The sequence below is a fragment of the Homo sapiens genome, chromosome 20 (genome assembly GCF_000001405.40).
Source record: "Homo sapiens chromosome 20, GRCh38.p14 Primary Assembly".
NCBI lineage: Eukaryota > Metazoa > Chordata > Mammalia > Primates > Hominidae > Homo > Homo sapiens.
The window spans coordinates 24,617,550-24,644,793 of NC_000020.11; the positions used below are offsets into that span (position 1 = coordinate 24,617,550).

At 45.9% G+C, this 27,244-nt stretch overlaps 1 protein-coding gene across 21 annotated transcripts in view, besides 5 other annotated features; it reads left to right on the forward strand.

Annotated features, from left to right (window-relative positions):
• Positions 1 to 27,244, forward strand: part of SYNDIG1 (synapse differentiation inducing 1) — a 196,988-nt gene that overhangs the window by 147,921 nt on the left and 21,823 nt on the right. For 6 of the 21 annotated variants that reach the window (XM_011529350.2, XM_011529347.4, XM_011529353.3 and 3 more), the window contains one exon: positions 16,003 to 17,039. The exons of 11 other annotated variants lie outside the window; for them this stretch is intronic. In XM_011529350.2, the coding sequence (XP_011527652.1) occupies positions 16,003 to 16,188 (186 nt within the window). In that variant the 3' untranslated portion in view covers positions 16,189 to 17,039. Of the gene's footprint in view, positions 1 to 16,002; positions 17,040 to 27,244 lie in introns of those variants that run through there. 4 more of the 21 variants (XM_047440496.1, XM_011529348.4, XM_047440497.1 and 1 more) reach the window with 2 other exon arrangements.
• Positions 16,168 to 16,820: an enhancer, noted in NCBI's record as "H3K4me1 hESC enhancer chr20:24614353-24615005 (GRCh37/hg19 assembly coordinates)". NCBI's record gives its function as "activates a minimal SCP1, AML or CMV promoter by ChIP-STARR-seq in naive H9 embryonic stem cells {active_cell/tissue: H9 hESC(naive)}" and the evidence as "EXISTENCE:reporter gene assay evidence [ECO:0000049][PMID:30033119]".
• Positions 16,904 to 18,103: an enhancer, noted in NCBI's record as "MED14-independent group 3 enhancer chr20:24615089-24616288 (GRCh37/hg19 assembly coordinates)". NCBI's record gives its function as "activates an origin of replication core promoter dependent on BRD2, BRD4, P300/CBP and CDK7 cofactors, and independent of MED14, by STARR-seq in HCT116 cells {active_cell/tissue: HCT116}" and the evidence as "EXISTENCE:reporter gene assay evidence [ECO:0000049][PMID:35650434]".
• Positions 16,985 to 17,823: an enhancer, noted in NCBI's record as "H3K27ac-H3K4me1 hESC enhancer chr20:24615170-24616008 (GRCh37/hg19 assembly coordinates)". NCBI's record gives its function as "activates a minimal SCP1, AML or CMV promoter by ChIP-STARR-seq in naive H9 embryonic stem cells {active_cell/tissue: H9 hESC(naive)}" and the evidence as "EXISTENCE:reporter gene assay evidence [ECO:0000049][PMID:30033119]".
• Positions 21,038 to 21,539: an enhancer, noted in NCBI's record as "H3K4me1 hESC enhancer chr20:24619223-24619724 (GRCh37/hg19 assembly coordinates)". NCBI's record gives its function as "activates a minimal SCP1, AML or CMV promoter by ChIP-STARR-seq in primed H9 embryonic stem cells {active_cell/tissue: H9 hESC(primed)}" and the evidence as "EXISTENCE:reporter gene assay evidence [ECO:0000049][PMID:30033119]".
• Positions 21,540 to 22,039: an enhancer, noted in NCBI's record as "H3K4me1 hESC enhancer chr20:24619725-24620224 (GRCh37/hg19 assembly coordinates)". NCBI's record gives its function as "activates a minimal SCP1, AML or CMV promoter by ChIP-STARR-seq in primed H9 embryonic stem cells {active_cell/tissue: H9 hESC(primed)}" and the evidence as "EXISTENCE:reporter gene assay evidence [ECO:0000049][PMID:30033119]".

Consider the following 27,244-nt stretch of genomic DNA (forward strand, 5'->3'; position numbering starts at 1 on the left):
TCTCCTCCTTCTGCGAAGGGGCCCCAGACATAGGCAACCCATTTCACCCTCAGACTCCTCTGCCGACCCAGCAAAGCCCGGGGGTGCATTTTGTCCTCTGAGATTTACCACAAGGAAGCCCCCCAAAAGAGTAGGCGAACCCAGGACCTTCTCAGCTGTGCTCCTGGCCAAGGAGAGCCCAGGGGAGGCTGAGGGAGAGCTCGGGAAGCTTAAGGAGGGTCTGGGAGAGGGGAGAGCCCGGGAAGGGGGTCCTGGGGGAGGGTCTGAGAGTGGGGAGAGACCGGGAAGGGGGGTCCTGGGGGAGGGTATGGGAGTGGGGAGAGGCTGGGGAGGGTTGAGAGCCCGGGGAGCGGGGAAAGCCTGGAGAAGCGGGAGAGCCCGGGGAGTGGGGAGAGCCTGGGGAGGGGGAGACCCCGGGTGGGGGCTGAAGTCTGGAGAGCGGGGAGAGCCTGGGGAAGGGAGATGCTGAGAGAGAGCCCGGGGAGTGGGGAGAGCCCGGGAAGCAGGAAGAGCCGGGGGAAGAGGGAGAGCTCGGGTAGGGGGGAACCCGGGGAGTGGGGAAAGCCCGGGGAGGGGGGTCCTGAGGGAGAGCCCAGGAGTAGGGAGAGCCCAGGGAAGGGGGAGACCCTGGGGAAGGGGGAGAGCCTGGGGAGGGGTAAGAGCCCGGGGAAGGGAGAGAGCCCGGGGAGAGGGGAGAGCCCCGGGAGGGGGGAGAGTCCCGGAAGGGGGGTCCTGAGGGACAGCCCAGGGAAGGGGGAGAGCCCAGTGAGGGCAGAGAGCCCAGGGAGCGAGGAGATCCCGGGGAGGGGGGAGAGCCTGGGGAAGGGGGTCCCTGGGGAGGGCCCAGGGAGAAGGGTTCTCTACCATCTCTGGGAGGCAGAGCACCAGGCCTCGTGGGCACCACGGGGCTCAGCCTCTCCTTCTCTTGTCGGGGTCATTTCTGACCAGACAAATTATGTCCCGACTAGCCTGCTATTCTGCCAACCCAAAGGGGTATTCTCCTCTATACTCCGAGGAAAAAAAGACATCATCCCAACAGCAGCTTCATTAGCTTTATATTTTCCTCTCATCTTTTGAAGCTGGAAGAAGAGGTTCTGTGTTAAAAATGTTCCTTCCCACTGTGCATAATGCTAATGTCCTCCACATATTAAAGTTAATGGAGTATTTTACACACTGAGAAGAGCTGCTGTGACCTTTTCTTCTTTTGGATGAGTCTCTTATTTTTTTCTCTCTTACCTCTTCCCCTCCATGTGACTCTTTTTCCTTTTTCCTTTCTTTGTTTTTTATTTTATTTATTTTGTGGTGGTTGTTGTTGTTTCAGATATGTAACTGCTGTAGCCAAGAGACCAGGGCATTAGGGCTTGTATTTCCTTAATTGCAACAACAGCAAAAAATATCATCAAATAATATAGAGGGAGACAAAACGCACCTGTTTTCTTCCAGGTATGGCCTCTGTAGAACCTCCTGCTCTTATATGAGAAGACTGAGGTTTACAGTCTCTTTTGCAGGGCAGGAGTGTTGAAGCCTCCTGGAATTTAAAACTGCCAAAAGGGTTAAAGAAAAGCTGTGGTCTTGAGTCTATCTCATTGTTTTAAATGCTGGAAAAATGAAAATGCCTATGTTAAGCCTGTGTGTCTGACTTAGTGGAACCCTCAGCCCTCAGCCAAACTTGACTAGTGTTACACCTCAAGGATCCTTTAATCGGGTGCATAACAAGGATCTGGACTGGCTGCGCAGTGTGTCCACATAAGCTCCTAAGGCCTTCACTGCAGCTTTTCTGAAGAGTGGGGACCCAGGGCCATTCCTCCTGGGCCCACTGGTCATTGTCATCATCAAGTCTGTTCTCTTTAAATGTTGCTGTTATGAAAGGAGCTGGAGGGTAGCCAATCACTTGTACAACACTACTTCAGTCTTGTTTCACTTCTCAATATTTGCAAAGTGATAAGAGAGACAAGTCTGCCATCCTCATGTTCCTGTTCGTAGATGATTCTCAGGGGAGCTGGTATTTATGTGACATAAACAAGAGCATGCATTTGCAAGTGCATGCACACACATAATTCAAGAACCTTGCTATACATTGTATTTATTTTTAATGTTTATAATTAAGATAAATGTAGTGTTGCCACTATATAATAGCATAGCCCAGACTGACTACATTATCTTCATGATGTTATTAGACAACAAAGCTCCAGCCATTAAAGGAAAGTCATCTTTTAGTGACCAGAACATACTGTATCCCAGACCCCATGTGGCATGACCCAGCCTAACTTTCATGTGCAAAATCAGGGTTCTGTATCTTCCATTTGAGTGGCATTGAGGGAGAGAAAGGGTGATGCAGAGGCTTCCAAGTTCAGACCCTGCATGATGCAAGGCATGTTGTGGAGTTCTGCACATGAGGAAACTGAGGCCGTGGGAGTTTAAATATGGACTCAGCTAAAGAGGTTCAAAATCCTGGCCACCCTGGAGAGCTTCCCTAAGACCCTACAGGAGAAGGTAAATTCTTCTTCAGGACAACTTTGTGTCAGTTCCTGCAACCTTCAAGCCACAATCTATGTGATTCTTATCAGTTTTAAAGGAAAGTATTTTATACACAACTCCAGATCCCTGTTTTCTGATAAACCTCAAAATTGTATTTACAACACTGATCTATTTATTGCTGCTACCCATACATGGTGGCATAAACAACTTTTTCATTATGCTCATGATTTCTTTGGTTGGGAGTTCAAGAAGCAGCATGAGGATGGTTTGTCTCTGCACCATGATGTCTGGGACCTCAGCTAGGAAGACCCAAGGCTGGGGGGTGACCTGACAGCTAGGAGGAAACATCTGGAGGTGTCTTTACTCCCACATTTGGTCATCAGTGCTGGCTGTTTGCAGGGACTTTAAACAAGCCATCCATAGGAGGCCCATCTCATTGCCTTTCCATGTGGTTTCTGCACATAGGCTAATTTGAGCTTCCTCACAACACGGCAGCTGGCTTCCTCAAGCAAACGTCCTACATCAAGGTGGAGCACAAGATCTGGTTATGATCCAACCTTCAAAGCTAGGCAGCATCACTTGTACTGGACTGTACTGGTCAAGGCATTCATAGGAGGAGACATAGATGTCAAGGCTCTGGAAGATTATAAGGGATGGGAAAAATTGCAGCTGCTATTTTGGGACTATATAGTCTGCCACAGCTGTATTTCCAAGGATGAAAGAAAACTATACACATAACGTATTTGTATTAATAGGTTCATAGGAAAATGAATAATGACGGAACAATTGTTTTCCTAAATACTTTATTCAAATCAATATATCAAATTAACAAAATCTCTTTGACCTAAAATGCCTTCTGTCAGTTCTTATAAGTTCATGGCATTATTTCAGTAAAAGGTAAAAGGCAATTTGACTGAGATGCTATTATAACCTCTCAGGTGCCCGTTGGCATACAAAGCAATGATGATAAACACATTACCTGATGGAGATAAAAGGGCTAAGAATCTTGTGAATCTTCAGTGGGCAAAGTAAACAGCATTATGTTGATAATGCTAAATGATAGCATTAAATATTTTAAGAGTGTTAAAAAATAAGCTAAGTTAGCATATTCCATCAAATATCTGCAGCCTGATGTTTTGTATGTGTACAAGAAAGGAATAGAAACTGTCTCAACAAAAGAGAGCAACCTTAAAGCATTTGCTAATCTTCCACATGCATCTCACTTGTTATTCTAAAAACAAAGTGTTGGGAAAGCTTATCTATTTACTTTTGCTACTTAAGTAAATAACTTATCACATCATAAGTGCATTGCACTTTGAAGGTTTCAGTTGGTTGGCTTAGCACATGGTAAACACCAATTTGGCATTCTCTCTTGTTAAGTGGCCATTTGCAAAATGTATTATTTCAGATTTGCTGAAATACTGAATTTCTAAGTTTACACTCTGCTTATTCATATTTTTAAATAACTCTTTTGCCATTTGGTCCCAAACCCATGTGCTGATGTGTCTGCTGGGTCTCATTTCTTCCCCTGTATTAGTATCTGAAGCAGTGGCATCCTTTTTTTGGGGGAAAACTCTACCCTGGGAAGGGACAGAAAGATTTGAAAGTCATACCCTTTTCTGGAGTGCACCCCAGGCCAACTATGCACTCCAAAGAATGATACTTGATCAGATCAGAGAACATGTCCTTCCCTATGCCCTACCACCATGTGAATGAGCTTCCAGTATAATAACCATGAGTTGAGCTTGAAAAACCACAAGACATATACTCTGACTTAGGTGCCATATATAAGGGAATCCAAATGCCAAGAGAAGAGGCAAAAATAAGGACATTAGAAGTTTCTGACACCTAAATCTACACCAAACATTGAATACACTTCAACTCCTGGCCAAATTAACATCAATTCTCACTTGAAAGTCTTATTTAACTCAGTATCTTCTGCTCTATACCATATGTCTATATTTCAACATAATATTACAAGGCAGGCCAAAAGTCAAGAGAACACTGATGAGACAAAATAATCATCAGAACCAAACTCAAATATGACTCAGATGTTGGAATTATCAGACATGTAATTTAAAACAATTATGATCAATATGTGAAAGACGTTGATGGAAGAGGTAGACAACACATAAGAAAATGGATGTCAGCAGAAAGATGAAAAGAAATGCCAGTAATACAAAACAGACAAAGAAATGAATAATTTTTTATTGGGCTCATATGTAGATTTGACATGGCTGAAGAATCAGTGACCTTGAGGATAGGTGAAAGGAAATGACCCAAACTGAAACACAAAGAAAAAAAGGATGGAAAATAAAACAGAGCAGGACAGGAAATCCAGGAATGTGGAACAATACAAAATAGTGTAACACAGGGGTCTCCAACCTCCAGGCCACAGACCAGTACTGGTCCATGGCCTGTTAGAAACTGGGCCACACAGCAGGAGGTGAGTGGCTGGTGAGCAAGCATTACCACCTGAGCTCTGCCTCCTGTCAGATCACTGGTGGCATTAGATTCTCATAGGAATGCAAACCGTATTATGAACTGCACATGTGTGGAATCTAGGTTGCATGCTCCTTATGAGAATCTAATGCCTGATGACCTGAGATGGAACAGTTTCATCCCGAAACCATCCCCTCTGCACTGATCCGTGGAAAAATTGTTTTCCATGAAATTGGTCCCTGGTGCCAAAAAGGTTGGCAACCACTAGTGTAACATATGAAAATTGGAATACCAGAAGAAGAAACAAGAAATATTTTTTAAAATCATGGCCAAGAATATTCCAATATTAGTCATAGACACCAAGCCACTGTCTTAAGAATCTTAGAAAACATCAAGCAGAATTAGAACAAAAAACAAAAACAAACCAACAACAACCAAAAGTAACTGAGATATATCCTGTTTAAACCATAGAAAATTGAAACCAAAGAGAAAATCTTGAATACATCTGAAAAGAATGAGGACATTCTCTTTAGAGAAACAAGGATTAAAACTACTGCAGACTTCTCATCAGAAACTGTGCAACTCTGTAATCTGAGCTACTCGGGAGACTGAGACAGGAGAATTGCTTGAACATAGGAGTCGGAGGTTGCAGTGAGCTGAGATCATGCCCCTGCACTCCAGCTTGGGTGACAGAGCAAGACTCCGTCAAAAAAAAAAAAGAAAAGAAAAAAGAGACTGTGCAACTAAGAATGCAGTTGACTGTAATCTTTAAAGATCTGAAGAAACAAATAAAGAAAAAATACTGGCAAGTTAGAATTGCATATTCAGTAAGAATATCCCTCAAAAGTCAAGGATAAAATAGAAACTATCTCAGATAAACAGCTGATGGAATTCATTGCCAGCAGGTCTGAAGTCTATAAGAAATAGCAAGGAAATTCTTCAAACAGAAGGAAAATGTTACAGGTCAGAAATTTGGATCTACATAAAGAAAAAAAGTACAGCAAAAAAGAATAACTAGAAGTGAAATAAAATATTTTGTTTTTCTTACTCATAATTTATCTAAAAGATACTATCCATTAAAAGCAAAAATAGTGATGCTGGCTTTGGTGATTAGAGCATGTGTTCAAGTGAAAAACGAAAACAGCATCCCAAGAAATGAGAAGGGCATTGACAAATACTCTGTTGTGAGGTACCCGCACGACACATGGAGCAGTATGGTATTATTCGAGGGTAAATTTAGATTAGTTTAAGATGTATACTATGAACCCTGGGCACTAAACTATATATTAAAAAAGAAGTATAAATAATAAGTCAGTAGAGGAGATTAAATGGAATCATGTAAAATGTTCAGTTGAAACTAGAAGATTCTGAAAAAGAGGGGGAAAAAACCAGAACAAATCCAACAACCTTACAAAGATGGCAACCATTAATCTGACTGTATTAATTATCAGTTATATATGACATTTAAAAGACAGACTGTCAAACTGGAGTTTTAAAAATGAGACCCAACTGGCTGGGTGCGGTGGCTCACACCTGTAATCCCAGCACTTTGGGAGGCCAAGGCCGACGAATCACGAAGTCAGGAGATCAAGACCATCCTAGCTAACATGGTGAAACCCCATCTCTACTAAAAATGCAAAAAAATAGCTGAGTGTGGTGGTGGGTGCCTGTAGTCCCAGCTACTTGGGAGGCAGAAGAATGGCATGAACCCGGGAGGTGGAGCTTGCAATGAGCCGAGATCCTGCCACTGCAATCCAGCCCGGGTGACAGAATGAGACTCCATCTCAAAAAAAAAAAAAAAAAATGAGACCCAACAGAATGCTGTTTATAAGAAACCTACTTTAAATATAAAGATACAGATGTGTTAAAATTAAGGAATGGAAAAAGATGTACTATGCTAACACTAATCAAAATAAAGCTGAAGTGGCTGTATTAATTTGAGAAAAAGCTGACTTCAGAACAACAAAGATTATCATAGATAAGGAGGCACACTGGATATGATGAAGGGTTCGATTATCTAAGAAGATACAACAGTCCTAAACATGTGTGCTCCTAACCACAAAGAGTCAAAACATGAGGCAAAAACTGATAGAAATGAAAGAAGAAGATACAATGGTAGTTAGAGATTTTCATGCTCATTTGTCAGTAATTGATAGATCAAGCAGAGAGAAAAGTAGTGAAGATATAAATCATAAAAAATGACCTGAATAGCACTATCAATCAACTTGACCTTATTAACATTAAAAGAACATTTCATTCAACAACAGCATAATATACATTCTTCTCAGGGGCACGTGAAGCAGTCACAATATAGGCCATATTCTGGGTCACAAAAAAATCCTCAAAAGATTAAAAACAGTAGAGAAAATAAAAAGTATGTGAGGCAGACAACAAAATAATTAAGACAGAACTAAATAACAGAAAGATACAGGTTATTTCTCAAATATTTGGAACTTAGAAAAAAACCCTTCTCAATAACCCATGGTCAAAGAATAAATCTCAAGGAAAACTTAAGAATATTTCAACTTAGTGTACATGAAAATATAATTTAAAATTTGGGAGATGTAGTTAAAGCAATGTTTAAAGGGAAATTTATAGCATTAAATGCATATCTTAGAAAAAATGAAAGATTCAATATGTATAATCTAAACTACCTTAGGGCACTAGAGAAATAACAAATTAAACAAAAGGAAGGAAATAACTACAATTAGAGAAGAAATGAATAACATTATAAACGGGAAAAATGTAGAGAAAAACAACAAAACCAAATGTCAGTTCTTTGAAAAGCAAACATAAAAATTGAAGAAATCAACACAATTAATAAACCTCTAGCCAGGCTAACCAGGAGATAAAGACAACACAAATTATCAATATCATGAAAGAAAGACGGGCCATCACTCCAAATGCCTGGGACATTTTTTTTTTTTTTTTTTTTTGATCATTCTTGGGTGTTTCTCGCAGAGGGGGATTTGGCAGGGTCATAGGACAATAGTGGAGGGAAGGTCAGCAGATAAACAAGTGAACAAAGGTCTCTGGTTTTCCTAGGCAGAGTGTTTGTGTCCCTGGGTACTTGAGATTAGGGAGTGATGATGACTCTTAACGAGCATGCTGCCTTCAAGCATCTGTTTAACAAAGCACATCTTGCACCGCCCTTAATCCATTTAACCCTGAGTGGACACAGCACATGTTTCAGAGAGCACAGGGTTGGGGGTAAGGTCATAGATCAACAGGATCCCAAGGCAGAAGAATTTTTCTTAGTACAGAACAAAATGAAAAGTCTCCCATGTCTACTTCTTTCTACACAGACACAGCAACCATCCAATTTCTCAATCTTTTCCCCACCTTTCCCCCTTTTCTATTCCACAAAACCGCCATTGTCATCATGGCCTGTTCTCAATGAGCTGTTGGGTACACCTCCCAGACGAGGTGGTGGCCGGGCAGAGGGGCTCCTCACTTCCCAGTAGGGGTGGCCGGGCAGAGGCGCCCCTCACCTCCCGGATGGGGCGGCTGGCCAGGCGGGGGGCTGGCCCCCCCACCTCCCTCCCGGACGGGGTGGCTGGCCAGGTGGGGGGCTGACTCCCCCACCTCCCTCCCGGACAGGGTGGCTGGCTGGGCAGAGGGGCTCCTCACTTCCCAGTAGGGGCAGCCGGGCAGAGGTGCCCCTCACCTCCCGGACGGGGCGGCTGGCCGGGCAGGGGGCTGACCCCCCACCTCCCTCCCGGACGGGGCGGCTGGCCTGGCGGGGGCTGACCCCCACCTCCCTCCCGGACAGGGTGGCTGCCGGGCGGAGATGCTCCTCACTTCCCAGATGGGGTGGCAGCCGGGCGGAGGGGCTCCTCACTTCTCAGAGGGGGCGGTTGCCAGGCAGAGGGTCTCCTCACTTCTCAGACAGGACGGCCGGGCAGAGACGCTCCTCACCTCCCAGACAGGGTCGTGGCCGGGCCGAGGCGCTCCTCACATCCTAGACGGGGCAGCAGGGCAGAGGCGCTCCCCACATCTCAGACGATGGGCGGCCGGGCAGAGACGCTTCTCACTTCCTAGATGGAATGGCGGCCGGGAAGAGGCACTCCTCACTTCCTAGGTGGGATGGCGGCCGGGCAGAGACGCTCCTCACTTTCCAGACTGGGCAGCCAGGCAGAGGGGCTCCTCACATCCCAGACGATGGGCGGCCAGGCAGAGACGCTCCTCACTTCCCAGATGGGGTAGCGGCCGGGCAGAGGCTGCAATCTCGGCACTTTGGGGGGCCAAGGCAGGCGGCTGGGAGGTGGAGGTTGTAGCGAGCCGAGATCACGCCACTGCACTCCAGCCTGGGCACCATTGAGCACTGAGTTAACGAGACTCCGTCTGCAATCCCGGCACCTCGGGAGGCCGAGGCTGGCGGATCACTCACGGTTAGGAGCTGGAGACCAGCCCGGCCATCACAGCGAAACCCCGTCTCCACCAAAAAAATACGAAAACCAGTCAGGCGTGGCGGCGCGCGCCTGCAATCGCAGGCACTCGGCAGGCTGAGGCAGGAGAATCAGGCAGGGAGGTTGCAGTGAGCCGAGATGGCAGCAGCACAGTCCAGCTTCGGCTCGGCATGAGAGGGAGACCGTGGAAAGAGAGGGAGAGGGAGACCGTGGGGAGAGGGGGACCGTGGGGAGAGGGGGACCGTGGGGAGAGGGAGAGGGAGAGGGAGAGGGAGAGCGAGAGCGAGAGCGAGAGCGAGAGCGAGAGCTGCCTGGGACATTGAAAGGAGAATAAGAGAATGCTGTGAGCAACTCTGTACCTGTAAATCCAGTAACTTAGATGAAATTGACCAGTCCCTTGAAAATACAAATGACAAAGCTCACTGGAGGAGCAAGGGATAACCTGATTGCTCTACTTCAATGAAAACAGTGGTTCTCAGTCTTATCTACCTAAGGAATCTGGAAAACTTGAATGAAAAACTGTTGATGCCTGGGCCCTTCTGCTGGTGAATTTTGTGTGACTGGTCTAGGGTGAGGCCTGGGTGCTTGGGTTTTGAGAACTCCTCCCCTGATTCTGATGACCTACCAAAAGGATCATGCTGCAGTCTCCGCATTCCGATGTCCGTTGAACAAAAGGATATTTTTCCTGCACTTCAGAAAACATTCTCCGTAGTGCATCTTTCAAAGGCTAAAAGACATGAAGCCTTCCCCGGTTCCCGGGACTGGAACTGACACTGGTTTGATTCCCAGTCTCAGAAATGTCCATCAATCAATTCTCAGCAACAACAAAATGCTTTGCTACCAAACTAAAAGGGAATGCTTTTCTGAGTTTGTTTGATTACAGGGTCCCACTGCCAAGTGGAGAACAAGGTTGGGGGAACCCTAAGAATAAGCCCCCTCTTCAGCACTTCTTAATGCTGCCCTGGGGCAGGGCCGCCTCTGGAGGTTGGAGAATCAAGTGCTCAGTCACTTGGCGGAGATCCTCGGGCCGGAGAGCAGCGTAGTGATGAAAACTTGAAGAGGAGGCTCTCTGAGCTGTGGCAGTATCTTTAAATCTTTTATTCATGTCATTGGTGTGCAGCGTGGATGTTAAATCATCTTTGATTGTTCGTACTTATGGCACTTAGAGGAGCACAGGATGGTCCCCCTCTAGGACAGAGGAAGGAGGAAGCTGGTGAGCTGTGAGTACGGCTCGCTCTCCGGGGCATCCCCTGCATGCTCAGCCCCCTACTTCCTTTTGTAAAAATTATCTGGGAAGAAAAGAAAAGAATTAGCAACCGCTGCCAGGAAGCAGGTCGAAAGCTTTCTGGCACTGCCAGAGCCTGCGTGCCGTTAAGTCGACACTCTTCTGAAGGGAGTACCAGGGGAGCCCCGCAAACTTGGACGTCTGCAGCAAAGTACTCCTCTGCAGTCAGCAGCCCTGACACCTTCCATTATGCAGCTCTGTGCTCCCCATCCTGCCAGCCACTCTGCTTATTCATCCTCTGATATATTTATTGGTGTGTGGACCATCAACTGAGGTGGCCTCACTAAGGGCTTTATAGCAGAGAAAATGAAAAGATTTCCAAGTGAAGAAGGTCACTATTACTGACTGGAGGAAAGCGTGGCATGGACCCTGAGCAGAATTTCCACTTCAAGAAAGGCAATATCAATGCATAATGATATACATTTGTCCTCTAAGTGATGGACCTTGAAATTTCTTTTGCATTTTCTGCTCCCCACCCAATCAAAACACATTGTGAGTGGCAGTGGGGCCAGCAGAACCCTTGGGGAGGGGAGTCTGGCTGCAGCCAAGCTGGTGGTCCCCAGGAAGCACACACCCCTGCTCCACCCTTTCCCTTCTGCCAAATGCATCGCGCTAGGGCTCTGTCACCATTATCCGGAGTTGCATCCTCCACCTGCCCTTGATCATCCCAGAACAGGAAGTGAAGGTCAGCCTTGCTTTCCAGTCTCCACGCTTTGCAGATTGGGTGGGAGGGAAAGCAAGCAGGTTTGTAGGCTTTCTAAAGCCCCCCATATGGATTCTAAGATCTAGACCCTGAAAGGCAGGAAGATGATGATTTTGAGGGCATAGTGATCCTCATGAGAAAGACAGCCACAGCTACTCTGTATCTGTCCACGTTAGCCCCATGCAAATGGCTTTGTTTCAGGCAGAATGAATGCAGAGCTTGGACAGTGGAGGTGAATGCTCAGCTGAGAGGCTACAGATAGAACATGTGAGCCAGAAAGGCCGGCTCTGGCCTGCTACACACAAGCCATGCCAAGGGCAGGCCCAGGAGCCCACACACTCCTCTGTGACAGACGTGGACATGTCGGCTCCCCGCTTATGCTGAAGTGGCCTCCCAACAGTGAGGCGAGTGTGCCTCTGGGGTTCTCAGATGGGTCTTGCTGCTGCCCTTGGGGAGACTTCCTCAGCAGTGTCTTAGGATGGAGGAAAGTCCTAGGTGGAAATTCTTGGGCAAGAGAATCAAAACTGACTGCTTTGACTTCAGGGCCTTTCAAAGAGGCATGGCAATTAAATAAACAATATGCCAAGAAGAAATTGAGACAGGAAAAAGAGGAAAGGAGGGAGGCAGAGGAGGAGGAAGGAAACTGACAGGAAGCCAAATGAGGACCACAGAGAAAGGCACTCACAGCCACCTAGGCCCACGCAGCAGACAGCAGCTCTGTTGTGTCAAGACCATACAAATAAGCCAAGGAAAGGAAGCCCACCACTGCCTGTGCCACGCCGTGCTGTAGGAACACGGAGAATTGGGGCCCTTCCACATGTTTATACACCACTGAAGCTTCAAAGCTGAAAGTGATTTACAAAGCTAGCCATGGCTTACTGCCAGCAAGGAGAAGTAAATGTAATGCAGGTTTTGTGAAATCATTTTGCAGCACCATTGCCAGGGAGGGTAGACCAGAGTGAGGAGCCCAGGCAGCTTCCGGAACTGAGATATTATCAGCTGCCGAGATAACTGCTTGGAGACAGGCAAGTGGTCATGTGTCTCTGCCTCCTGCTGCCAAGTGGCCTTTCTGCTGCCACTCAGGATATTCTATACTTTGAGGTCATGCACAAGTGCCTGGAGTCAGGAGCGGAGTCCAAGCCCAGCCCTGCATGGACCACCTGTGTGACTGCACAGGAGATGCATCATCTATAAAGTGAGAGATTCTGCTGGTGGTGGTGAAGAATGCCAGAACTCGATAAGAAAAAGACAAAGACCTGAATAGTTAATTCACAAAGGCAGATATGCAAAAATCAAGAAGCACAGAGTTGGTGCCCATGATCGTGTATCATCAGGGGAGTACAAAACGAAAACCTAACGAGCTGCCTCTGCACACACTCACAGGAGTGGTCCGTGTTAAACATGCTGAGACCCCTGGGGATTGACCGGGACCTAGAGGACTGGGACACTCACCCACTGCTGATGTGAGGGTGAAATGCCCCAAACACTGTGGAAATGATCTGAAGTTTCCTTAGAAACATAAACATGTATTTCCCTCCTTCCCACCTAGATATTTTCCCAAGAGAAATGAACTCAGAAATGTCCACAAAGAGAGATACACAGGATTGTTCATGGTACCTTATTCATCAGGGCCCCAAACTGGAAACAACCCAGGAGAGCAGAGAAACAGCCAGAGAGTCTATCTCAAGGGTCTTTTGAATCCAGAATGGTTCACCAGGCAGGTCCATGTGGTGGGGTGGGCCTGAGCCCCTCTGTGTCAAAGGCAGCAGAATCCCTTACGTGGCTGCAGCAACATCCACACTCCTGAGGTCCTGGGTCCTGGGAGCCTCATGCTGCATCCTCAGAACTTGTCAGACCTTCGTCCACTGTCGCCTGGCTGCCCTTGGGCCACCCCTGCTGGGAACCCTGCCTCTCTGCCATTGCCCCTCTACAAGAACCCTGAGTTATAGAATGTCCCATCTAGAGGGAAGGTGACTCTGAAGCAGTTGGTGGTGAGACTAATACCGAACAAAGAAAAGTGAAGGCAAATGCCTTAGGAGCAATAAAGAACACTCTCTAAAGAAAGGAGGACAGCAGGATCACATGATGATTTGGGTCTGAAAGATGAGCTGGCTTGGCTGCTGATGGAAATGAGGGAGAAGATCTTTAACTGAGGCGGTCATAGACACCCTTGGATTGCCCACAGGGCGTGTTGTTATGGAGGGCAATGACAGGAAATCAACACTGCCCCAAAAGTCCCAGCTGGGGAGCCTCTACTTTGTGACATACAAGGGAAACCATGGAAATCAAGGAAGAGGCTGTGGCCTAGAAGGCTTCAAATTGAAGTCTGGGGAAATTAGAGAACAGGCTCAGAATGTCCTGGGAGCTGTGGGCCCAGACAAGGTTGGAAACCGTGGCCTGGCATCTTCCCTGCTGTAGAAGTGGAAGATGAAATGGTGACTCCTGCGGCGGGCATTGCCATGCGTCAGGGTGAGCTCCGGGGCAGGTGGAGGCAGCAAAGGCCTCTCAGGACCGCGGAAGGGCCTCATCAGCCACCACATCCCCACCTGCGGGCGCGACGGCCTCATCATCTCCTCCAGAAAGCAACACTGTCAGCCACACATCAGGAACTGTCAGCCTCAAATTCAACATTCCTCATTCTTGAACCAATTTACCAAAACTTTTTTCTTCATAAAAAGGTGAGATTTTTATATTTGGGATCAGGAGGACCTTTTTAGTTTATCAGGGCTACCCTGGGAAGGACTTCCAGAGCAGAGCTTTATCACGTAAAATCTGCTGAGGCATCTGAGCATTGAGGAATCTCTCCTGGAAACAAACATATCGGAAAAATTTCAAAAATTCTTCTTGCTGAGAGGACCTTTCTTGATTTATATATATATACACACACATATATGCATATATAATAAGTATATACACTTCTATGCAGAACCATATTCTGTGAAGCTAGCTTTATTTTCAAAGAGTTGTAATAAAATAAGCTTCTGTGGCTAGTTCTATACTCTACTATCACCTGGCTTTGTTTTAAATAGTAGATTTGCAGTGTTGGTGACTTCTGAAACCAAGGACCCAACATTTTGATAAGAGCTTAGATTGCTTATAGTTACATCAACCAAGACTCAAAAATGTGAGCAAAGCATCACTGCTGTCCAGCTAGGCATGTCCCTGTAGCCTCATCCTCTGCTCCTAACTTCAGAGGGTGGCACAGACTAGACCAGAACTAGACTCATTCATCTCCCAGATGTCTTTCTGTGGAAGTGGGGGCTGTGGGCCCAGGGCGGTGTCAGGAGAGGGCAGGGAGGAGTTTGGAAGTCAGCCTATCTTTCTAGTTCTGTGAATTCCCTGCTGCGTAGATTTCACACGTAATTTACTTTTTATTTTATTTTATTTTATTATTTTATTTGAAACAGTCTCGCTCCAGGCTGGAGTGCAGTGGTGCGATCACAACTCACTGCAAACTCTGCCCCTCAGGTTCAAGTGATTCTTGTGCCTCAGCCTCCTGAGTAGCTGGGATTACAGGCACATGCCACCATGCCTGGCTGAATTTTGTATTTTCAGTAGAGATGGGGTTTCACCACGTTGGCCAGGCTGGTCTCAAACTCCTGACCTTAGGTGATCAGCCTGCCTCGGCCTCCCAAAGTGCTGGGATTACAGGCATGAGCCACCACATCTGGCCAGAGTTCACACCTAATTTAATAATAACACCAGTGAAAAAAAGCAGGCTGCCTCATTTCAATGAGAGTTTTTCAAGACCCCTGGTCCCAGGACCATAGGGGTCCCTTTTCTTGTTCTTTGTCAAGAGTCCAGGTAACAAGATGATAACGTGGCCCTGCTGTCGTGAGCGGGGAAACAGCAGGAAGCCTTGCTTCCCTTCAAGTATTTAGTGCCAGCTGGAGGGATAAAGAGACCTGTAAATAATTGTGGCTTTACAAGGAAACAAGGGAAGGCCATCGGGGCTTCCAGACACAGGGATGACAAGCTGTTTTCCTCCCTTCTGGAATAAATTCGCGAGAAGCTGAAACAGAACTTGAAATGAACTTATTTTATGAAGGCTCTGGAGGGTACTGCCATAGATTATGTGAAGTTTGTTTTTTTTTTTTTTTCGTTTTGGTCAATAAAGTTACCACAGGCTTTCATATCACAGAATAACCTTTCCCATAGTTTCCAGTGGTTCTTTGTGCTCTGTTCTAGACCTCCTCCCCCGAGGAAAATCAGAGGCGATGGGCAGACCGTGTCGAATCTGAACATGACGTGGCTTGCTGCAGCAAGCTTACTGCCATGCTAAACACTTAGTGAGGAAGCATGCCTGGAAACTGTCCCTCTGGTCAGAGTGCCTCCAGACCCAGAATGTCCTGGCCGCAATCATTCAGGCACATGTTACTGTCCTGAGTACAGACGTAGGATCTGAGCCCTCGCTGGCTGCAGAGCCACCACTGCCCACCTCTCTGGCACGTGCCTTCCTCCCTGACACCACCCAGCCCGAAGGCCCACAGTGGAGTGCGTGATGCCCCTGCTGTGCCCCTCCTGGTTTATCCGTGCCTGGCAGAGTCCCAGCACCCAGCACGGGAGCAGGTGTAGGGGAGGCTCAGAAATAAACATGGATCAATATTAACTGGTAACGTTCACGGGGGGGAATGTTCCAAAGAACCTTGTTGAAACCCTCTAAGTTGGTCCCCTTTTGATTCTAGTTGATCACCCTGGAAGAAATGGCAGCATTCAATTCCTCCATCCTTTTTTCCAGTTCGCAAGGGCTGGTTCCCTGGACCAGCAGCATCAGGGTCATCTGGGAACGTTTTAGGATCGTGAAGTCTCGTCAGCTCCCAAGACCTGCTGACTCGGAAGCTCTGGGGACGGGGCTGGCAGTCTGGGTGTGAATGCCCTCTGAGGTTGCTGTGGAGACTCCTGAGGTAACACATGCTGAAGTCAGCCTGTCCTAATGGACCAGGCTCTTGGTTAGGAGCCCCAGCACCTAGGGGAGGCCGTGGTTCAGGGTTGTTGGGGTGTGGGCACAGCACGTGACACCCGCACCAGCCGCTCTCACCTTTTCACTCCTGCCCTCCCAGGTCACCTGCATCCGCCAAACTCTGCCTGGGGTTCCCTTCGTTATCAGCAGAGCACATAGACACATGTCTGGATTTGTTTATTCATTGTCTTTTCAAATATAGTGTACTCAACTTGGAAAACAGAAGGAGGAGGAAGAGAATGGAGAAAGAAAGCATGAAAACTGAACCTCTCCTCCATGCCCCTTTCTCAAAGCCCCTCCTCCAGGGGGACCCCGTCTTTCTGTGCCTTTATCAATGTGTGTGTGGGCAGTTTTGATTTACACGTAGAAGACCATCAAAGTGCAATGCAGCTTGCTTTTTCACATAATGTAAATACTTCTGGTATCTGCATATAAACACCAGCATTGACATTTTTAATGATTTTGTAGCATTTTGATGTATGAATTGCAATAATTTCATTACAGTAATGTTTTCCCTAAAAATGGACATATCAATTGTTTTCAACTTCTCCTTTTGCAAATATAGGATATCCACAAGTGAAATTCCACCAAGTCAAAGGTTATTCACATGTAAATTTAGCTACATACTGTAACTTCTCCTCCAGAAGTCCGTACCAGTTTTCATTCCTATTAACAAAATGTGAATGCCTGTCTTTCCCACCTGAGCTCAGTGTTCCATTTTCAACAATCTGATAGATAAAATAAAAGATATTGTCAGTTTCAGTTTGTGTTTCATTGGTTACTATAAAGCTGAACATCTTTATGTGTGTTATTTTTTTTCCTGCTTTTATTTCCCGTATAAATTTCTAGTTCTACATTTACCATTTTGTATTGGGTGTTCACATTTTATTAATTTGTAGACCTTATTTTTCTGACACAGTTTTTAGTCTGCTGTTCATGAGCTTTACTGCAAACATGTCCTCCTGCCAGACTTGGCTGTCAGTGGTGCCTCTTGCTGTAGAAAGGAGTCCTGGAGTATCTTCAGTGGTTGCTGGAGGGAAGCTTCCAGGGCACTACAGTCCAGTTCTTTACAGCTGCTGAGCATTGGTTGTGCGGTGTCTCACAGTGACTCAGCAGAAGACAGAGCCTGCACTAGTGTCTCCCAGGCATCATCGGATCCTGCAGCTCCCACACGGCAGCCCCAGGAGCAGCCTGGCAGTGTGACTCAGCAGCTTTCCTTGCCTGTTCTGAGGGGGCGCAGCTGGGGACAGCACGGGCTTCTGCCCACTCCTCACCCTGCCAGCGGGAAGCCTCCAAGACTTGGGAAGGAAAGGCAGTGAAGACCTCACTTGTCTCCTGCTGGGCCGTGGGCCCAGGTGCTGGCTTCACGGTGGTGACTCATGAACACACGAAGAATTGGGTGTGCAGAGGAGGAGAAACCATGCAGTGAAGAGCCCCATCGTCCTGTCACAAAATCCACTGCTAACTTTTTATTTCTACACCTATCTCCTCATGCTTCACAGAACCTCTGACCAAAGCAGCTTCCTCTTATCATTCACAGATTTTATAACTTTCTGCCTTTCCGAACGCGCTCTTCATTCCTGGTCATCTTGCATAATTTCCCGCCCGTGATTCTAAAGAAGAGAACCTATTGCTATGATAAAAGCTCACTGCAGATTCAGGGACATTGCACCTTATCCCAGCGGACACCAAGGGTCTCTGTGCTGGTTGGGTCTTGCCTCCAGTTCTCATCTTTCTTATTAAATACTTAAGTTTCTAAACTGGAGACTTTTCTTGATGAGGAGGCCGACTAAAGGAGTACCTTTTTATAAGCTTTTTTTACAATTACATTCACATCACAAAACACGTAGTTTTGTAACAGTGCAGTTATTCACACATGCCTCTTGTTTTTCAGAGCACCCTTTTCTCCCCTTCTGTGTTGAGGGTGGATCTCACGGCCACACAGTTAACCTATGTTAACCACCTCGACTGCCCTTCCAGTTTCCTCCACACTCAGCCATTTGCATATGCACACACATCTAGCACCCGGTCACCATGCCATCTACCACTGTGGGGACCCTCTCACCAGTTTATTCTCATGAGAGTAAACACACTTTCTGTATCTCAATGTTTTCACTGACAATACTTTCCAATATTCTGGAAATTTTGTAGTTATTGTCTTTAGCATTCATGAAATACCTGCATAACAATGACTGTCGTTGACCCAGCTGTCTTTCCAACACTGCTTGTTCACTGTTGTCTGGACTTTGGGGGGGCTCTATGAACAATGTTCCAATCAAATGTAGTTTTTGGTGAAAGTTTATATCCATATTTGCCGGTATATGAGACTGGGCTGCAAATAGGGTACTTCAATTTTCATGAGAAAGCTTAACTTCTTTTCATCATGCATAAGTTGGAAGTGATTTTCATCTATTATTGAAGCTGCGTCATTGTTTGGGGTAAATACCCAAGGTTCATTGTCTCGTGCCAAGGGAATAGAGGAAATGGACATACAAGAAGTGTATTTAAGAGTGGAGGTTTAATAGGCAAAAGAAAGAGAAAAGAGAACAGCTCTCTCTCCTGCAGAGAGAGAGGGGCACCTGAGTGGGTCTTCTAGTCCATGGCAAAGTACATGGGGTTTTATAGACTGGCTTGAGGAGGCAGTGTCTGATTTACATAGGGCCCAAAGATTGGTTGGACCAGGTGTGCCATTTACATAGCACACAAAGAAGCTGGCCACCTCTCCCTAATGTTTTACTATGCAGATGGGGTCTCTACCTGGCCAGTGCCATGTTGTCTGCTCCTTACTGTGCACGTGGTTGACAAGGAAAGGAGATGATGGAGTGCCATGTTGAACCTGCCTGGCCACCATGTAGCCTTTTCCTATTGGCACAGCTGCTGGCATTCACCCATGCAAGCTTCCAGCTTATCTATGTCTGCAGCTCAATTTTACAGGCTGCTCTTTGTTAGAAAAGAAGTGATTTGGGGGCTGCTTTTCATTAAAAGGAAAATCTTACCAAGGACTCTCTTACCCTCGCTATCTGCCTAAATAATTTCTTTTTAACTGCTATATCATTATTATAAGATAAAATCTATATTGATCATGTCAACAGACCTAGGTTCTGCCTGGGGCGCAGTAGGAAATCACAAGTTGCAATTGAGGCCTTGCATACCATCCAAGAGGCTCCTGAGAATTTTCCCCTGCACATGGGAAGTCATTGCTTGACCTTTTCCCTGTGGGGGATCCTGCAAGGCAGTTCCCTGCAGCCACGGGCAGGGCCCGGGGAGGGCAGGCTGCTGCAGCCTCAGCAGCCCACCCTTCCAGCAGCTGAGGAGGGTACATTGGCTGGGAAGAGGGGTCTTGGTACAGCTCCTACAGAATCCCACATGGAACTACATGCAGCATAGATGCCAAATACATAGTGAACAGAGGAGTGAACAGCGAGCAAGAAACCCAGCACTCTGTGGTGTGTCTCATATGGTAATTACAAGCCACATGGTAATTTACGATTCCTTCCCTTCAGAGCTACATTTTCTTCAAGTCCCTTCCACGTCCCCTCCCTCCACTCTAACAGCCTCTTCCCTGTGAAAAGCAGTGGCATTGGAGAGACAGAAAGAATAGGCCCATAAAGACAACCCTCTCATTCAGAGACATCAGCCCTCAGAGGTCCCACCTAGCCACTGGATCTTCTTCATGAAGCCTCTTGCTCACCTAGAAAACCCCAGCAAAATGTGGGCTCTCCAGACTTCTGCCACAGAGAAGACCCTTCTAAAATGCTGATATTCCTAGATGTGATACAGATCAAGTCACTAAAGTCCTAAATTTCAAATCAAGGAAGGAAGGGGGAAGGTGATGCCAGAAACAGAACAGGCAAAGAGCAGAGCAGGTGCTCTGCCAGCAGGCACCAGTCAAAGGTCCAGCAGTAAAAGGTGTACAGGTGTCACCAAGAGCCTCAGTCACCACAGCAGGGCAGAGGCAGTGGGCTGCACCCACCTAGTTGGCTGGTGTAGACCACCCTGGCTCCCTTCGAGTCTCCCCAGCCCCAGAACACCCCTCAACTATCTGTAGACTCCTCTGTGTAGTCAAGACTTCTTGGCAGAAATCCAGGGCTATCCTAGAAGCATCTTAGAAACTGCTGCGACCTGGAGGGGTTAAATGCCTTGACCAAGGCCACAGCTAGTTAATGGCCAAGCTGGGACTAACATCCAGTCATCCAGTGTCCGAGAGAGTGTTCCCTCCAAACACTGCATCATTTAGCCTCACGCAGTCCTAAAAAGTGGAGGTGAATGAGTTGCCCAAGTGAAGCGGGCACGGCTCACCTCTCAGTCACAGAGGAAAAGCAGCCAGCTCAAAGCTGCACTGTCAACTCATACCAAAGCTGGTCACCCCAGTGACAGTGCAGGGCTGAGAAGGACAGAAAAACCAAGATGGATGCTGCAGGTGCAAAATCGGATTTTTTAAAAAAGGGAATATAACTGACAAGTTTGCATATATATATTAAGAACAGCAATGTGGTATAAGGTAAAAATAGAAATTGTTTTATTTATTATTTATTTGGAGACTGTCTCCAGAGGGTCTCACTCTGTCACCCAGGCTAGAGTGCAGCGGCACCATCAGGACTCACTGCATCCTCCACCTCCTGAGCTCAAGCGATTCTCCCATCTCAGCCCCTTCCCGAGACGCTGGGACTACAAACATGTACCACCATGCCCGGTGAATTTTTTGTATTTTTTTTAAATAGAGACTGGGTTTCACAACGTTGCCTAGGCTGGTCTCAAACTCCTGGACTCAAGAAATACCCCCACTTTGACCTCCCAACGGGCTGGGATTACATGAACCACCACACTCAGCCTGGAATTTGTATGTTTTTAAATGTCATTGGATGAATATCTGTGAATGTGATTGCTACTGAAAACAAACAAAAAAAGGAATGGCCATTGTCAAGATAAATGGCATATTAAATGTGGAAGCAGAGGCTCGGGCTCTGATTTGAAAGTCTGTGCATGACTCAGCTTGGGCTTGTGATGGCTTCTGATTCCAGGCTCAGAGAGTGAGCACACTGCACTGTTTAAGAAATAAACACAGGGGTAGCCCAGGGGTGCCAAAGGTCATAGGCCAGGCACGCAGGACTTGTGCTGAGATGGCAACCTGGACTGGAAGACAACCTGCTGGGCCTCCCTGCCAGCGTGGTGGGTGCAGCTGACATCAGCAGCAGGTGTCTGACATGGGGGCCCAGGAAGCAGAGCTGAGGAGGTGCTGTCCCAACGGCAAGACCCACAAAGGCCACACACATTATTATAATACAAAGCACTGTGTGCAGCCTAAAATGTGGAGACAGGAGGGGTGCACACAGAGGGTATGAAATGCTCCCAGAGTGAGGTAAGACGCAGGCAGGGAGAACGTGACAGGCTCAGGGGAGGGTTGTCAGATGGCGAACAAGGAAAGCACATCTCAGCAGAGGCATGAACCAGGTGCATGTGCCCACTGGCTCCAGTGCTACTGGGGGCTTCGTATGTGACAGTGATGATGAAGGCTTATCAGCCTGCAGAGACAGCAGTCCCTGCCACTGCATATCAGAGCCCAGTGAGGACAGTAGGGTCAAGGCATATTCCCCACACACGAAGGCTTTCACAGCAGCTCCCCAGAATTCTAAAAGGCATCTCGGCATCTCCGGGGATGGGAGACAGCCTGCTGTCCCTGCCCTTCAGCTCCCTAGTGTGAGTGATGGGGACACTGCCACCACCCTAGCTGCTCACACTTGGAGAAATAAATTGAGTTGTCGGCGTGATGTTGACCAGGACAGAATGGCATCCTGCGGTATCAATGTGGTTTATTTGTTGTTGTTAACATTAATACAATTGAAATTTTGGACATTGTGATAAACTATGAAAAAACAGGGTGAAAACATCAGAAGCAATTACACTCAAGAGTTTAGCCTGATTCTTTCCAGTCCTGTTTTCTAAACATTATTCTCTATATAGGTAAGATTAAATTTTAAAGTCTGCCTTTTTGTAATCAATACCATGAGCATTTTCCATGTAATTAGCACTGCCTTATAAGCATAATTGTCTGTGATTACCAGATATCTCACCATATGGACACAACATGATTATTTAACTATTCACAAATAAATTTTAAGGCATTTAGATTGCCCCCCAAATTTTCATTCTAGTAAATAACACTACATATTTTTTCAGTTTTGTGCTTAAATCTTTATTCTTGTTTCTTAAGAAATAAGCTCTTCTGGCCAGGTGCAATGGCTCATGCCTGTAATTCCAGCACTTTGGAAGGCCAAGGTGGGCAGATCACTTGAGGTCAGGAGTTCGAGACTAGCCTGGTCAACATGGTAAAACCCCATCTCTACAAAAAACACAAAAAATAGCTGGGGGTCATGGGGAGTGCCTATAATCCCAGCTACTCAGGAGGTTGTGGCAGGAGAATCTGGGAGGCAGAGTTTGCAGAGAGCCAAGATCATGCCACTGGCAGCCTGGGTGACAGTGAGAAAAAAAAGAAGGAAAGAAAGAGAGAAAGAGAGAGACATTGAGAGCGAGAGAGAGAGAGAGAGGAAGGGAGGAAGGGAGGGAGAAAAAGAAAAGAAAGTGAGAGAGGGAGAAAAAAGGAAGAAGGAAGGAGGGAAGGAAATGAAGGAAGAAGGGAGGGAGGGAAAGAAGGAAGGAAGGAAGGAAGGAAGGAAGGAAGGAAGGAAGGAAGGAAGGAAGGAAGGAGCTTTTCTTCAAATAATTAAAGCGTTAGATTTCATGGTTATCTAGTGGCCCCAGTGTGGGAAGACCTTGTAAACAAATGTGTTTTGTTTTACTATGTAATTGTTTTTCTATGAAATTGACTGGAAGGAGGAGATTTCAGATGAGAACAATAGGACTAATATGTCACCCATAATACAGCAAAACTTGTGGAAGCTCACTGGACACAAAAACACAGGAGTCCTAGGGGTGCTTCTGCAGGTAGCATGGGATGGATCCACACATCTCTAGAGGCACCAAACTAGCAACCCGATAGCATTTCACAGGCACAAAACAGCCACCACCCACGTGTCAGGGAGATGGCGCACATGGAGGGCGCATGGGCAGGTGCCTGCCAGCCTGCATGCACACAACTGTTCACTCCAAAGTGTCCATTCATTTTGGTTGCTAAGAATTGCTCTTCGTCCCCGGTGGGTGTTTAAAAAGAAAGATCTGCCCTTCCTGTCCTAGCTCTTACAATCTTAAACCTCCTCATTTGTTCCCAGGAACTTTTGCTTAGAGAATGATATTGATGACAGTAGTTTCTATTCATGAGCACTTACTACAATCCAAGAGTTAGAAGCTGTTACTCACTAGCTATGTGATCTTGGATAAAGTTCACCTTCCTGAACCTTAATTCCTCATTTTTAAAGTAGCATTAATGGTTTCACACGCAGACATGTTTAGGAGAACTTACTATGAAATACATTTTGGAAAAAGATGATGATGGATGGATGGATTGATGGATGGATGGATGGATGGATGGAGAGTTGGGTAGATACATAAATATAGCAAAATGATAATGGTACACCAAAGTGGTGAGTATATGAGTGTTGACTGTAGTTTCTTTTAACTTTTCCCTATGTTAACATAAAACATTGCTGAGGAAAACAGTATTGATAATGGTACCTACTACATGGTGTTGTGCAATGGAAGAAATGAGATGAGGCAAGTAAAGTGTTGTCCGTATGGTGTTTGACATAAAGCTGTAAGTCAGTGTGTTATTGTTGTTAGTATTTGTCGCAACCAGCAAAATAGGTATTATAACTCTATTTTAGGGAGAAAAATAAAACTAGATACTCAGATAAAATAGTAACAGGACGTAAACTAGTTAACATACGTGCTAGACTTGAGCTGGGCCGGCCTATACCAAAGCTGTGCCCTGCCCACCTCGCCACCAGGCAGCCAAGGATGGAGCACGGAGTGTGCAGCAGGGTGTGCAGACTCACAGCTCCTGGTCTCTCACCTTGTCCCATGCCACGCCCTGATGTTTTTAAAGTCAACTTTTTATTTTAGAATGGTTTTAGGTTGACAAAAAATTTACTAAGACAGTACACAGAGTTCCCATGTATCCCTTAACTGGTTTCTCCTTTCCCTAACATCTTATGGTGTGACACATTTGTCACAATTAATGAGCCACTGCTAACACATTATCAGAAACTACACTCCATGGACTATGTAGGCTCTATGGTTAAACAAAAAACAAAAAGAACCATAGTCCATAATAGATTCCTTCAAGATTTACCTAATGTCCTTTTTCTGTTCCAAGGTCCCATCCAAGAAACCATATGGCATTTAGTAGTTGTGCCTCCTTAAGTTCCTCTTGGCTGTGACAGTTTCTCAAATAAGTTTCCTTGTTTTTGATGGCCTTGACAATTTTGCAGAGCACTGATCGGGTACATCGTGGGAGGCCCCACTGTTGAGATTGGTCTGATGTCTTTATTAGACTGAGGTTATAGACTTGGGGTCACATCAGGGGCACCTGCTATCAGTGTGGCTTGTTGCTGTTGATGTCAAGCTTGCACCTGGAGAGAGAGGGATTGTCAGGGCCTCCACAGCAGAGTCACTCTTTCCCCCTTCCCATGCTGTACTCTGTCATAGGAAGTCACCGCACAGCCCACACTCGAAGGGTAGGGTGGAAAATACTTTATCACCTTAAGGGCAGAGCACTTAGATAAATGTTTTGGAACTTGTCTGTGTGGGAGATTTGTCTACCCTCCTCCATTAATTGGTTCATCCATTTATTTATGTCAGTATGGACCCTTGGATATTTATGTTATACTTTGGTGTCTAATCCAAAACTACATAATTTATTTGCTGCTTTGACCCTTGGGAGCTCTTTCAGATTGGTTTCTGTGTCCACTTGACATCCTTTTGTTTTTTGAAGCACTTTCTTACATTTTTGCACCGCAAGATGCTGCTTCAGGTTCATCTTGTATGCTTCCTGTCCACGTCCCAGAATCAGCTATTTTCCTATGGAGCCCTGGTTCTTTCATTAGAGAATAGGGTTCGAAACCAAGATCTGGGCACTGGGTGTGCTTGTGGCTTCTGGGGTGTCATTGATTCTAGGCTCTCTCAGTGACAAAGCTAGGAAATAAATGTATGTATCCTCATGCCATTACTGTTAGGTTAGTTGCATTTTAATGGCAAAAACTGCAATTACTTTTGCACGAATGTAATTAGTTCTATATAGAGAGTATTTCTACTTGTTTAAATATGTAGAAATATTTCTATATGCATAATTATTTATGTACATATATATATATCCATCTGTATCTGTATTAAGCTAAATGTGAGTTCATACTGGTGCCTCCAACTCTAACTCATTGTCACACATCACTGCAGCCTTCTTCCCTTACTTCTCTGTAACCTCCTACTCCAACAATGAGAAACCTGGCTCCAACCATCCACTATCCACTTACTTAATTGTTCATTTCCAGTATAAGTGTATAGTGTCAGAACTGTCAACCTGTATCTTCATGAGAAGTAACTTTATCAGCTAGAGTGCCGTGTTCATGAGAAGTAACTTTATCAGCTAGAGTGCCATGTTCATGAGCAGTAACTTTATCAGCTAGAGTGCCGTGTTCATGAGAAGTAACTTTATCAGCTAGAGTGCCGTGTTCATGAGAAGTAACTTTATCAGCTAGAGTGCCGTGTTCATGAGAAGTAACTTTATCAGCTAGAGTGCTGTGCTTATGTGTAGTTCTTTCTGCCATTAGTCCTGCAGTCTCCACTCGTTTCCAGGGTTACTTTGGTCAACACCCTCCTCACCCCCTTCAGTGAGGTTGTTTCATAAATTTGTAATACAGTTAGATTAATCCATCATAATCTGCATTCCCTCCTGGCATCCCCTGACTTCCTAATCAATTTTTTAAATTTGAATACAATAAGATTTTGTCTTTGTGTTGTAAAGTTCTGTGTGTTTTGACAAATGCGCAGTGCCACATATTTACCATGACAGTGTCATACAGAATAGTTTCAGAGATGCTCTAAGAAGAAATACAGCTTTGTGGAAAGAGCCTTTAAATATGTGATTTCCAACCACTTATGTGATGCTGAGTTCTCCTTCTTGCCCCATAACTTGGCCCCAGATTTCTCAATAGAAAAACAGACACATCATCAAAAAGAGAAAACTGAGCCTTAGCAATAATTAGCTTGCAGCTTCATATATTTTGAAATGCAAGAAGTAGACTTTCTATGCCAAAGAAGAAAAAGAGAATCATCTAGACTAGCTACACGCAAACACCCACACTTTATTCCCAGGGAACTTGGGAGAAAAATCAATGGATTCCAGGATATGACAGCTTCCAAACACACTTTGATTTAGGTGCATGATTATGAGCAAATTGGTCTGCTCTATGGAGTCTCCATGTGCTCATCCATGAAGCAAGGCTGTTGTGAATCTTCAGCCCTCTATTGCTGACATAGATGATGAGGCAGAGGTTAATTAAAATGACAGTTAAAACATTATGTTCACTGTGGTAAATTTTACCTCCCAAAGATGGCCACAGCATTTCCTAGCACACATGCTCTTCTGCAATGTGGCCTTGCCCCTTCTCCATTAAGGCATATAATTTCATTCACCTCTTGACTTAGTGCTTTGCATAGCACTGGGATGCACTTAGTGCCTTGCTTGTTACAGTGGAGTGCAGGAAGAGGGCTCTGTGTGACCTCAGAAGCCAGGAATCATTGAGGCCTTGTTGCTTCTGCCTCACTCACTGGGACACTTGCTCTTGGAGTCCTGAGCTGCAATGTAAGAAATCTTCCTCCCTGAGACCTCCATGCTGTGGGGAAGCCCAAGTCACATGGAAAGGCCACTTGTAGGTGTTCTGGTCAACAGGCTTAGTCTCTTAGTTATCTCAGCCCAGGAACCAGCTATCTGAGAGAAGTTACATTGGACCTCCAGAACAGCCCATTCTCCAGCTGAGTGCTCCCTGAATTCTTGACTCCAGAATTCATAAGCACCC